Source organism: Homo sapiens, chromosome 11, assembly GCF_000001405.40.
Source record: "Homo sapiens chromosome 11, GRCh38.p14 Primary Assembly".
NCBI lineage: Eukaryota > Metazoa > Chordata > Mammalia > Primates > Hominidae > Homo > Homo sapiens.
The window spans coordinates 99,918,673-99,932,545 of NC_000011.10; the positions used below are offsets into that span (position 1 = coordinate 99,918,673).

At 37.7% G+C, this 13,873-nt stretch overlaps 1 protein-coding gene across 12 annotated transcripts in view, besides 1 other annotated feature; it reads left to right on the plus strand.

Moving 5' to 3' along the window:
* Window positions 1-13,873, plus strand: part of CNTN5 (contactin 5) — a 1,337,937-nt gene that overhangs the window by 897,724 nt on the left and 426,340 nt on the right. The window lies entirely within an intron of this gene.
* Window positions 7,089-7,857: an enhancer, noted in NCBI's record as "OCT4-NANOG hESC enhancer chr11:99796493-99797261 (GRCh37/hg19 assembly coordinates)". NCBI's record gives its function as "activates a minimal SCP1, AML or CMV promoter by ChIP-STARR-seq in naive H9 embryonic stem cells {active_cell/tissue: H9 hESC(naive)}" and the evidence as "EXISTENCE:reporter gene assay evidence [ECO:0000049][PMID:30033119]".

A 13,873-nucleotide genomic window follows, 5' to 3' on the forward strand; every position in this document is an offset into this window, starting at 1 on the left:
GTACAGTATAGCATAGTGTACTATAGTAGAGTATAAGTCAGATACAAAAGAATTTCCTTTTCAAAGGTTTGGCTTATTCAGCATCCCTGTTCTTCGTCCCCTACTTCCAAGGCCACACTAACTTCCTTATCCTTTGTTCCTCCCTATTTTAATTTCAGTAAACAACTTTCCCAACAGTCCTTATTTACAGAGCCCACATTTGCTACCCACTCTGTAAATTACCCCTCCCATCGCAACAGCTTTTCCTGCTGAAACCGCCCTTCCTGCCAGTGTAACCACATTCCTGCACCTTTCAAGTTAGCCAGCCAGGTTCAGCTTAGATTGTGCAGTCCAACTCCAGCCAGTGGAGGCAGGACACAGTAGCAGGGATAAGCTGCATTAAGGATAAAAACCCCTTCCTGCCTTTGTTTGGTGTGCTCTCATGACCAGACTTGGGAGCAGCATTCTTCTGCAGAAGCAAATTTTGCCTTGCTGAGAAATCCTGTCTTTACGTGCTCTTTTTCTTGCGACTCCAAGCTTTACTTCCAACGGTATAGTATAGCATATGCATTTGTTGCAGTTCTAAGACTAATCTCTCAACTTGTGTGGCGCTGTAGTTCATCTTTTTTTGCCTACTTTAAGAAATTGTTTCAGCAGTACCCCTTCTTCTGCATTTTTATCAGAGTTTGATTCCTCTTCTGGAGCAGTCCATCAACATGGAAACCTGCTATTCTTTCCTCCATATAAAAATAAAACAAAGGAAAACTCCATCGGCCAATGCCCTCTTCATTCAGCTACTACATGATTTTTGGTTTCCCTTTACAGTAAAACTTCAAAAACTTTGTCTTTATATACTCTATCCAATTCTATTCCTCTCAGTCAGTCTGTGTGTTTCTCTCTCTTCCCCCTATTTTTGTCTCTACTCTCTTTCTAACAGATTTATTGACATGCAATTTTTATCCCATAAAATTCACGCATTTTAAGTGTACAGTTCAATGAGTTTTGGTACATTTATATAATTGTGCCTTCATCACCACAACTTGAAAGATACTTCCATCATTTCAAAAAGTCATTCAATCCCTCTCCTACTCATGTCCCTAGGCAATTTTTGCTATGCTTTCTGTCTCTATAGTTTTGACTTTTCTAGAATATTTATTTTATTTTATTTTATTTTATTTTATTTTATTTAAGACATGTTTTTGCCATGTTACTCAGGCTGTTCTTGAACTCCTAGGCTTAAGTGATCCGCTCACCTATAATCCCAAAGTGCTGGGATTATAGGCATGAGCCACTGGGTCCAGCCAGAAATTTCATTTTAATGCAATCATACAATCTGCAATCTATGTATGTGCACGTCTGTGGGTGTTTGGTTTCTTTTACTGGGCAGAATCTGAGATTCATCTGTATCATGGCATGTATCAATAGTTTGTTGCTTTATATTGCTGAGTAGTATTTCATTTTAAGGACACATTCCATTTTGTTTATCCATTTGGATTATTTTCAGTTCTCATGTGGGTTATTTCTTTCTCCATAAAACACTATTTTCACTTAGCTTAAAAGATTCCTCACTCTTGATATTCCTCCACTCTTTCTTCTTAATCTCCTTTGCTGATTTGTCTCATCTCCTCAAACTCTTAATTTTATAGTCCCCCAAGTGTCAGTACTATAACTTCTTATCTCCTTAATAAACTCACACTTTGTTAGTTTTCACCTGATAATAAAGCTTTAAATATCTAAATATCTAAAATCTCCCTAACATACATCTCTAACCCAGACTCTGGCTTGTATGTATATCCAACTGCCTATCAGTATTTGGCTAATAGGCACTTCAATCTTAACCATGTCTAAATCTGAACTCCTGGTTATTTCTTCCCCAAACCTTCTCTAGCTACAGTCTTTTCCACCTCTATTAATAGAAATTTCATTCTGTACATCAGGCCTCAGAGCCATTCTTCACTTCTCACTTTCTCTACACCCTACATACAAACCATCAGTAATTTTACTGGTGTCAGCCCACTTTCTGGTCCATAGACAACTTCTTGCTGTGTACTCACATGGTGGAAGGGGCCAGACAGCTCTCTTGGGCCTTACTTATAAGTACACTAATCTCATTCATGAGAGCTTCACTCTCATGACTTGATCACTTACCAAAACACTTGCCAACTAATACCAGCACATTGGCAGTTAGGATTTCAACATACTACTTTTGAGGGGATATAAACATTCAGACCATAGAAGGTGGTATTTGGAGATGGGGCTTTTTTTTAGTTTTATATGAGGCCTTGAGGGTTGGGCCTTTATGATAAGATTAATGACTTTATTAGAAGAGACACCAGAGAGCTCTCTTTCTCTACTGAATGTGAGAAAACAAAGAAGGTGTCCATCTGCAAACCAGAAAGAAAGCCCTCATCAGAAACCAACCATGCTGTCACCTAATCCCAGACTTCCAGCCTCCATAACTGTGGGAAAATAAATTTCTGTTGTTTAAGTCATCCAGTCTGTGGCACGTTGTTATGGCAACTTGAGCACACTCATGCACCATCTCATTCAGCTTAATATCAAAGCCAAAGTCCCTACCATCGCTTGGAGAACCCTCGCCATTTGCCTCCAATTGATCTGTCTGAACTCAGCTACTGCTTTCCCTCCTACTCTCTTTCTTGTAGTTATTGTCATTTCCTTGATGTCTCAAACAACCAGACAAGCTCCTACCTTAAGGCCTTTGCAGTCGCTATTCCCTAGGCCTGGATCATGTATATCCCAGGTATATGAATGGCTCACTCCCTCACATCCATATCTTTCTTTAAATATCACCTTAGTAAAACCTTTTACAATCTTCCTCTTTTGATTTCTACTCCACAATTCGTTTCTCCATCTTTGCTTTATTTTTCTCCGTAGTACTCACAGCATTACATATACTGCCTTAATTTTTCTCCATAATGCTCCTAGCATTCCATATACTGCACGCATTTACTTACTTCGTTGTTCATAGTTTGTCTCCTTCGGTTACAATGCAAATTCTACTAAGACATAAATTCTGCAGGTTTTGTTCACTGTTATTACCCCATTGCCTAGGACAGAGTATGAGCTCAAAAATATTTATTGAATGAATCTATGTATAATATTCAGAAATATATGAAATGAGCCCAGGTTTTAATAAATATCAGAAACTTTGATGGAAAAGTCATAAATAAGAATAGGAAAAAAACAGATCAGCTATGTAACAAGAAAACCTTTCTTAAAATTTACCTTTTTCTCATAATTATATTGTGAAATGGTGCATTAATTTTAATGTCTTGCTTATTTGCTTAAAAGAAGAACTTTGAAACTCTCTTGGGAAAATATAGTCAAAAAAGCTTGCTGAAGAAACAGAATATATTAGTCCATTTTCGTATTGCTGTGAAGAAATACCTGATACCGGGTAATTTATAAAGAAAAAGAGGTTTAATGGACTCACAGTTTCACCTGGCTGGAGGGCCTCACAATTATGGCAGAAAGTGAAGGAGGGGCAAAGGTGCGTCTTACGTGGTGGCAGGCAAGAGAGCATGTGCAAGGGAACTGCCCTTTCTAAAGCCACCAGATCTTGTGAGACTTATTCACCATCATGAGAACACAATGGGAAAAATTCACCCCCATGATTCAGTTACCTCTCACTGGATCCATCCCACAACACGTAGGGATTATGAAAGCTACAAGTCAAGATGAGATTTGAGTGGGGACACACCAAACCAAATTACAGAGGAAGTGAGAAAAGAATAATCCAGGGTGAAGTTTCTGATCTGACATTTATTAGCAATGACTTCAACAACTGCCTTTGTTTGGGTGGAATGAGATTGATATTATGAAATTAGTAAATAACCTGATACGTGCTAGAAATCTTAGACCCAAGTTTCTGTTTCATCCAAATAGTCATGTAGATTATCATAGCATACTTGTTCAACTGATGCTTGATTGCATTTTGTTTCCCAATCTTGTTTTACTTCCGTTTTTCAAATCATAATTAGTTTGTTATTTTATCTATTGGAACAATACAATGTAAAGTGTCAGGAGTCAAATTTTATTATTTTTATCTTTCCAAGTAGATTATATGTTCTTTCAGTATATGAAGCTTACCACCTTCCACTTCATATTCCCAATACGTAGCACAGTGTCTGATCCTTACTAGGTGTTCATTAAACGCATGTTAAATAACTGAGTGAAATGCAGATTCTAACAGTTGAGTTTTGCAAGGTTTTAGACAGTTTCTGTCAGCCTTCTGGTATTAGCTCATTGTATCCTATATTCATGACAGATATTTGGGTCACTTAATATCACATTCATGTATTGCTATTTCAAATTGTAGCAGCTACTATGATTCAGTGGAAGCTGTATGAAATGATAAAACAGTTTACACATCAGAGAATATTAAAAATTATTCAGAAACAGCCCACAGATCCATTTTCTTATTACCTCAAATAGATGTGCAATGCCCATTTTTCTTCAAATAAAAGCAAAAGCTTGAATTGACTTGATAGCTAAATTTCTCAGTTTTCTTCCCAAGAGATCAATATTAATCTCTGTCAGCAACATATGTACATGAAAATACCTTGTTTGGATACTGAGGTGGTTATTCATCTATAAGACAATAAATATATATATTTAAAATGTTAAGCACACCTAGCCCAAATGAGTTTTGATTGCCAAAAAACGTGTTTTTCAGTTTAGTAATTTTGAAATTGAGGGTTATATTGTAAAGGAAGGCTTTGTGAAAATGTAGAAATAGCCTCATAAAACCTATAAACCTATATAAAGTTATTTTACTATTTAGAAGCTATCATTTATAGATACTTTCTACATAAATAAGTCATTTATTACTATTTTACTTACATATTTGACTTTATTATGTACAGAAATATTCAAAAGCTTACGTTGAAGTGGTTTATTTACTTTGGGGTATATACCCAGTAATGGGATTGCTAGGTTGAATGGTAATCTAGTTTTAGTTCTTTGAGAAATGTCCAAACTGCTTTCCACAGAGACTGAGCTAATTTGCATTCCCATGAAAAATGTAGAAGTATTCCCTTTTCACTGTAACCTCACCAATATCTGTCTATCTAATCTATCTGTCTGTCTATCTATCTATCTATCTATCTATCTATCTATCTATCTATCTATCTATCTGACAGAGTCTTGCTCTGTTGCCAGGCTGGAGAGCAGTGGCATGATCTCAGCTCACTGCAACCTCCACCTCCTGGCTTCAAGCGATTCCCCTGCCTCAGCCTTCCAAGTAGCTGGTAGGTACTACAGGCGCACACCACCACACCCAGCTAATTTTTTGTGTTTTAGTAGAGACAGGGTTTCACCATGTTGGCCACGATGGCCTCAATCTCCTGACCTCATGGTCCGCCGGCTTCTGCGTCCCAAAGTGCTGGGATTACAGACGTGAGCCGCCACACCCGGCATCTATTATTTTTGTTTTACTTTTTATTAATAGCCATTCTGGCTGGTATAAGATGGTATCTCATTGCGGTTTTCATTTGCATCTCTCTGATAATTAGTGATGCTGAACATTTTTACATGGTTGCTGGCTGCTTGTATGTTTTCTTTTGAGAAGTGTCTGTTCATATCCTTTGCTTACTTTTTGGTTTTGTTGCATTTGCTTTTGAGAACTTAGTCATATTTTTTTTGCCTAGGCCAATGTCTAGAGAGTGTTTCTTAGGTTTTCTTCTAGGATTTTTATAGTTTGAGGTCTTATATTTAAGTATGTAATCCATCTTGAGTTAATTTTTGTGTATGATCAGAGATAGGGATCCAACTTAATTCTGCATATGGTTAGCCAGTTTTCCCAGAACCATTTAGTGAATAGGGTATCCTTTCCCTATTGTTTATTTTTGTCATTTTTTTTGAAGATCAATTGGTTGTGGGTATGCAGCTTTAATTCAGGGGCCTCTATTCTGTTCCATTGGTCTATGTGTACCAGTACTATACTGTTTTGGTTACTGTAGCCTTGTAGTATAGTTTGAAGTGGTTATCATGCTTTTTCTGTGGTTTATTTGCCCTCTTTTTACTTTCACCTATTTTTATTAATATGTTTTTAAATTGTAATTTTCCTTCTATTCATTTCAAAATTTAATATTTTATATGCTGTTTTCAAAATTATATGTAAAATCTTAATATAGCTATTTAACATTATTTTTGAACAGTTTCAATGCAGTTGTTTTTGGTGATTAATGAATCTGTTCATTCAAACAGAATTTGAAGAAGTAAGGGTGTGTAAATTTCTGGCTCTATGAAATACAGTACCTAAGAAATGGAGAATTTGGTTTAGGATAGGAAAAGATTAGTTGAGTTGTGAATACATGAAGTCTTATATATCTATAGGTAGCTCAGAAAACTGGATATAAATCTCCAGTTCTTGATACACCTGACTCCCATAAAGTGCAAAACCATAGACAGGTATATCTCACTTAAATATGCTCTCCAAACAATCAGTTTCTCTACTATCACTCCTCCAGTTATAGGTGGAATTGTGGTGGTATGCATATCCATCAGGGGGAATACTAGTGTTGTATGTACATTGGATCTCAGAGGGAAGGAAAATAAAATCATAATAATCAGTTAAGTAGGAAGCGCCAAGGCAACTGGAGTAAGTGCATAAAGTGAGTATTTGCAGACTAAACTTATTTTATTTCTGCATATAAGCTTTAAGCCATCATAGAAAATAGCTGAATTTATAAAGTAATGAGCTATATAGCGAAGCTTAATCCTGAGCACTCAGCAAACATAGTGTATAATGCATTTGGTTGTCCTTTTAACACTCCTTCATTGTAAACACTCTAACATATAGTATATCCAGTTTGGAAATAATAGTCAAAATGCAATGGACACTGAAGGACTAAAGATGCTGACACCTTTCTAGCTGCTAAATCTAAGCAACCCCTCATTCCCCTTGGCCTTGAGACTCCTTGGAAGTATTGGTTAGAGTAGAGCAAAGAGGTCTTCAGTTTTTGTGTATGAGCTGTAACACTTCAGCTGGGGCATTTCCTATTAAAGAAAGAAAGAAACAAAAGAGATAATTTTTGTTTTGTGGGTTTTTTTTTTCTTTTGGATTCTAAATACTTCTTCTTCAACCTAGTTTAAGACAGGCAGACAGGTTCACCATTCTCAAAACCGTTGTAAAGACAGATAAGATATAAGTAAACAAATCCAGAGAATATAAGAGGTAGTCCCAAGAACACTATGATGAAGGAATACCAGATATTCTCTGCTTCTAAATAGCTATATTGTACCATCATATTTCACCTGGGATTTGGTCTCAGACATCCAGGGATTCTCATCCTGGCTCTGACATTTACCATTGGTCTGTCTGTTAAATTAAGCTTTACCTTGCCTGTAGCGAAGGAATAATAAAAGCTACCTCACAGCATTGTTGTCAGAATTAAGAGGTAGTTTATGTAAGATAATTAGCTCAATGGTTGGAGGACAGTGAGCATTAAATTAACTTTGTCTTGATAATCTGTCTTCAAAAACCCTCTTTAAAATGCAAATGCTTTTGAGAAAGGGGTTGCCTTAAATCATTATCTGCTAACATTAATTAACAGTTGGCAGAGATTAGTTGACATCAAGCTGACAAGGCAACTAGAAGATGAATGGCACTTGGAAATGGGAATCTCAGAGTTTAAGAAGGGGAAGGGATCAAGAAAAGGAAAAATGAATCCTGACAGTTAAGTGAAAGGGCATCAAGTATCATTGCTATCTTCAGGAGACCTCTTTATCCTAAAATAATAAATAAATACCAGAAATTGTTCCTTTAAAGCTATATAAAATGGCAACCAAAATTTCACAGAGGTAAAAACAAAATATTTTTGATGGTAGTTTTATTTAAAATGAGATTTTACATTATACAATGTAAATCATAATTTAAAATGATGTAATTACAACAAGTACAAGAAAAATGGACAAGACTTTTTTGGCATCTTTAATCTTACAAAATAGTAAGATACCATGATACTCCTTGCTTCAAAATTAACTTTTATACCACAAACACAAAAAGTAATTGTTCCAAAAATATTTAAGGATTTCCACAAATTTCTAAAGATTTCTTAGTTGTTTTATTTCAAATCACTATATATTAAATTACATAAGATCTTTATTCTGTGAGAGTTTATCACACAGACTTTCATTTTTTGATAATTTTGCTTTATTGATTGAAGCTGTTTTCCAAATGTGTCTTTGTTAAATTAATGAAACCCACAACTTTTACAAGATTTACAGTTTTACTTTGAAATACGTTAATGTTGTATTCTTACATTTTATAAATAACTTATGCAAAAGATATTGGCAAGATGGAAATACATAGATTCTAGGAAGTGTAATTGAGTGAGACTAATTTTAAAAGTAATCAATTAGTCATTATTATGTGATTATGACTTCTTTTCCTAAAAGGAGCTTGTAATTAGGGTTACTTGAGTTATATTATTTGGACACAGAGAGCTCTATTTTTAAGTTTTGCCTAGAATTAGCCATCTCTTTGGATAAATGGAAGCAAAGAAAATCAGTATTTTACATTTTATGTATCCTATTCTATCTTTATCCCTGTTTTATAAGTAAGTTATTGTTACCACCACATTGCAAATGGTAATATTGAAGCTCAGAGAGCAAGTTGCCTAAAATCCCATGGCTAATAAATAAAAACACAGAGATCCAGGTCTGTGAATTCAAACCCTATGTCCTTTTGACTATATCATATGGTCCTTACACATTCAGTATATTGTATTGTATTAGTGCATTATCCCGCTGCTATGAAGAAATACCTGAGACTGGGTAATTTAGAAAGGAAAGACGTTTAATTGACTCACAGTTCTGCAGGGCTGGGGGCCTCAGGAAACTTAAAGTCATGGCAAAAGGGAAAGCAAATACATCCTTTTTCACATGGTGGCAGCAAGAAGAATTGCCAAGCAAAAGGCGGAAAAGCCCCTTACAAAACCTTCAGATCTCTGGAGAACTTGCTCACTGTCATGAGAACAGCATGAGGATAACTGCTCTCATGATTAAATTACCTCTCACCAGGTCCCTCCCACAACATGTGAGGATTATGGGAGCTTCAATTCAAAATGAGATTTGTATGGAGACACAGCCAAATCATATTATTCCACCTCTGGCCCCTCTCAAATCTCATGTCCTCACATTTCAAAACACAGTCATGCCCTTCTAACAGTCCCCAAAAATCTTAACTAATTCTGGCATTAACTCAAAAGTCCAAGTCAAGTCTTATCTGAGACAAGGCAAGTTCCATCCTGGTATGAGCCTCTAACATCAAAAGCAAGTTAGTTACTTCCTACATACTATGGGGGTACAGGCATTGGATAATTACACCCATTCCAAATGGGAGAAATTGGCCAAAATGAAGGAGTTAGAGGCCCCATGCAAGTCCTAAATCCAGTGGGACAGTCAAATCTTAAAGGTTCAAAATGATTTCCTTTGACTACATGTCCAACATCCAGGTCACACTGATGGAGGAGGTGGGCTCCCATGGCCTTGGGCAACTCCGCCCCTTACAGATTTGCAGGGTACAGCCCCCTCTCAGCTGCCTTCATGGGCTGGCATTGTTTGTAGCTTTTCAAGGCTCACATTGCCAGCTGTCAGTGGACCTACTATTCTGGGGTCTGGAGGACAATGGCCCTCTTCTCACAGCTACACTAGGCAATGCCCAAGTGGGGACTCTGTGTGGGGGCTCCAATCCCACATTTGCCTTCCACACTGCCTCAGCAGAGGTTCTCCACGAGGGCTCTGTCCCTGCAGCAAGCTTCTGCCTGGACATTCAGGCACTCCCATATTCTGAAATCTAGCCAGAGGTTCCCAAACCTCAATTCTTGACCTCTGTGTACCTCCAGGCTCAACACCACATGGAAGATGCCAAAGTGTGGGGCTTGCACCCTCCGAAGCCATGGCTTGAACTTTACCTTGGCCCCTTTTAGCCACAGCTGGGATGCAGGGCACCAAGTCTTGAGTCTGCACAAAGCAGCAGGGCCCTGGGCCTGGCCCACAAAACCATTTTCTCATCCTAGGCCTGTGGGCCTGTGATGGAAGGGGCTGCTATGAAGACTTCTCACACGCTCTGGAGACATTTTCCTGATTGTCTTGGTGATTAACATTTGGCTCCTCATTACCTATGCATATTTCTGCAGCTGGCTTGAATTCCTCCTCAGAAAATGGGTTTTTGTTTCACATTATCAGGCTGCAAATTTTCTGAACTTCTATGCTCTGTTTCCCTTTTAAATGTAAGTTCCAACTCCAAACCTTATCTTTATGAATGCATAAAACCAAATGCTTTTAAGAGCACCCAAGTCATATCTTGAATGCTTTGCTGCTTAGAAATTTCTTCTGCCAGGTGCCCTAAATCATCTCTCTCACGTTTAAAGTTCCACAGATCCCCAGGGTGGGGGCAAAATGCTGCCAGTCTCTTTGCTAAAACATAGCAAGAGTCACCTTTATTCCAGTTCCCAACAAGTTCCTCATCTCCATCGGAGACCACCTCAGCCTGGACTTCATTGTCCATATCACTGTCAGCATTTTGGTCAAAGCCATTCAACAAGTATCTAGGAGGTTCCAAACTTTCCCCCATCTTTCTGTCTTCTGAGCCCTCTAAGTCTCTAGGACATTCCAAACATTCCTACATTTTTCTGTCTTCTTTTCAGCCCTTGGAACTGTTCCAACCTCTGCCTGTTACCCAGTTGCAAATTTGCTTCCACATTTTTGGGTATCCTTTCAGCAGTGCCCCACTCTCCGTGGTGCCAGTTTACTGTAATAGTCCATTCTCATGCTGCTGTGACAAAATACCTGAGACTGAGTAATTGATAAAGGAAAAACGTTTAATTGGTTGACAGTTCTGCAGGGCTGGGGAGGCCTCCGGAAACTTACAGTCATGGTGGAAGGGGAAGGAAACATGTCCTTCTTCACATTACAGCAGCAAGGAAAAGTGCTGGGCAAAAGGAGGGAAAAGCCCCTTATAAAACCATCAGATCTTGTGAGAACTTACTGACTTCATGAGAACAGCATGAGGGTAACTGCCCCCGTGATTAAATTATCCTCCACTGGTTCCCTCCTAAGACATGTGGAGATTATGGGAGCTACAATTTAAGATGATATTTGGGTGGGGACACAGTCAAACCATATCACCTATTGTTACTGGTGGCAAGTCTGAACAGGGTCCTTGGTCCTCGATTCTTGTCCTGTTGGAAGAAAGAATTTGGCCAAGAAGAGGTAGTAGATTTAAGGCAGAAATGAGAGTTTATTGAAACAAAGAAAAGTCCATTTGGAAGGACCCAAGTTGGAAACTCAAAAGATTGACTGCCTCGCCTGATCCTTAGCTCAGTGCTCTTATAGACTTATTATTTCCTGCTTTTTATCCTGGTCTTTTCCCCTTGTCCTTCCTGTTGGGCAGGATGTTGGCTAATCGCAGTATGTAGAGTGACTTGCCAGTGTCTGGGAGGGGCCACATGCATCATTTGGTGGTTGAGGTTATCTGCGTGCTCTCTTAGAGCAGTTTTCCCTTGCCAATCTAGCTCCCCCAGAGGAAGGTCATATACTGATCAAACTGCCATTTTGCTCCTTACTGCATATGCCTGAATATATTCTCAGAAAAAGGTCACAATCTGCCATTTTGTCTCTTACTGTGCATCCCTGAACATGTCCCAAGAGGAAGATCAAATTCCACCATTTTGACCCTTACTGTGTATGCCTGGATGTGTTTGTTCAATTCCTAGGATCTTACTGGGAGTTTGTTGCCCAAAAGCTCAAGGTGTTTCCTATGTGTTAGGAAATGTTCCTTCCCCTCGTGCCAGTCTTGACCACTCATTTCTGAGGAGACCGCCTGACAATTGCCTGACAGTCACCTGACAGTTGCCTGATATTCTTTGGGGCCCTATTCTGCCCTGTTCATATCTGCCTATCTACCTACTCTAACAACATGGTCTGAAATTTTACTAAAAATGTTTATTTTGTGTATACGTAGGCCACTTGTTAACATGTTTGTTATGCCAATTCAAATAAACAAGAGATTTCATCAATTATTTTGATTGACTTAACTAAATTGTTGTCTGAATTAAACATTTAATGCTTCCCAAATCAAGGATATAAACAGTAGATAAAAATAAACACATACACACAAACACACACACACACACACACACATTTTAGTATTTTTACCAAGTAAAATAATGCAGTGCTTAAGTGTCTATTTTAGCAGTTATTTAGAAGCCAGGCAACATAGACAATACAAGGATATTGAAGGAAATGCTTGAGAAATAAAGGAATTATTTATTTTTATTATATCATGTCTGTTTTCCTTTGTGAGTAAAAAATGTATAAATTATATACTCTCAAATTAATCAGAAAAAGACTGCTTCAACCTAAACTGTGTTGTCCATTGAAGCATTTGTAACAAGTGCTTTAACTAGTTACTTAATAATATCTGAATGTAGTGCTTATCAACAGATACATTTTGACATTATTTTAAAATCTGCAGAGATCATTTTAAAAATATTTTACTTTAAAATATTTCAATAGAAAAATGTTTTGTTCTTTTCATTGCTTTTCCTGTACTTAATTGTAATATATTTTCCAGATATCACTAGAAAGGAAAACTCAATGTGTTTCAGAGTCTTTAGTTTTTTAAACTATCTGACAAAACTTACACATGGAAAACTAAACTATCACAAAGCAAACACTTCAATATGGAGTTTGTTTTAGAATATTTAGACACAGCATAAGGAAAAAGACTTAGAACACTGCAATAACCTTGGTTTTTTTTACTTAGATTGGTTAGGGATTTTGACATCAAGCAGCTCTAGTTTACCTAATTATTTTTGATTGTTTAATTGGATTTGACCACATAGTAAAAGGATTTGACCCAAGTCCTTAAAATAGCCTATTTTTGTTTCATCTTTATAGTCTACACAGAAAAATGTAAAAAATAATGGATCAAGAAAGCAAGCAACTCACTCCTTTGATAACTGGTTCCCATTAGTGGGAATAACTAGTGTTTCCATGTTACGTTCATTTGGTTTGGCCAAAGTGGTCAACCAGTCAAATTAGTATGTTAAATGCAGACAAGTTAGTGTGCAATATTTGCTAGTAGTGCTTGCTCTAAAACTGAAGGCAGGAAGAAAGAAATGGGGTAACTTATGTATGGGTTGAGCATGAAAAATGTGGATGTGTCAGAATGTCTGGAAAGTTACGATATCCTTCTAATTCCAGAGAGTATCTAAGCTAGTCCTCCCTATCTGTCATATGATGATATATTTTTCATATGAATTTATCACCATAGAAACCTCCAATATCTCCCCATCACCTGTAAATTAACTTTAAGTTCCTTAACCTGGCACTCGATCCTTTTTTGAGTCTCCTGTATAGTTTGCCATTTGACTATGAAGCACCTAAGCTTCTGTTTATCTTACTCACTGTATTCATTTTTTTCAGCTTCCTTGCCTTTGATCATGTCATTTCCAGTGCCAGAAATGCTTACCCATCTCCCTTATGCACTTTTGTTGAAACGTGTATTTTATTTTATTTTATTTTTTTGAGACGGAGTCTCGCTGTTGTCAGCCCGGGCTGGAGTTCAATGGGTCGATCTCGGCTCACTGCAACCTTCGCCTCCCGGGTTCCAGCAATTCTCCTGCCTCAGCCTTCTGAGTAGCTGAGATTGCAGGCACCCACCACCACGCCTGGCTAATTTTTGTATTTTTAGTAGAGACGGGGTTTCTCCATGTTGGCCAGGGTGGTCTTGAACTCCTGACCTCAGGTGATCGACCCACCTCAGCCTCCCAAAGTGCTGGGATTACAGGCATGAGCCACTGCACCCAGTCAACTTGTATCATTTTTTAAAGTACATACCTTAAAATAACTATAGTATATGTAT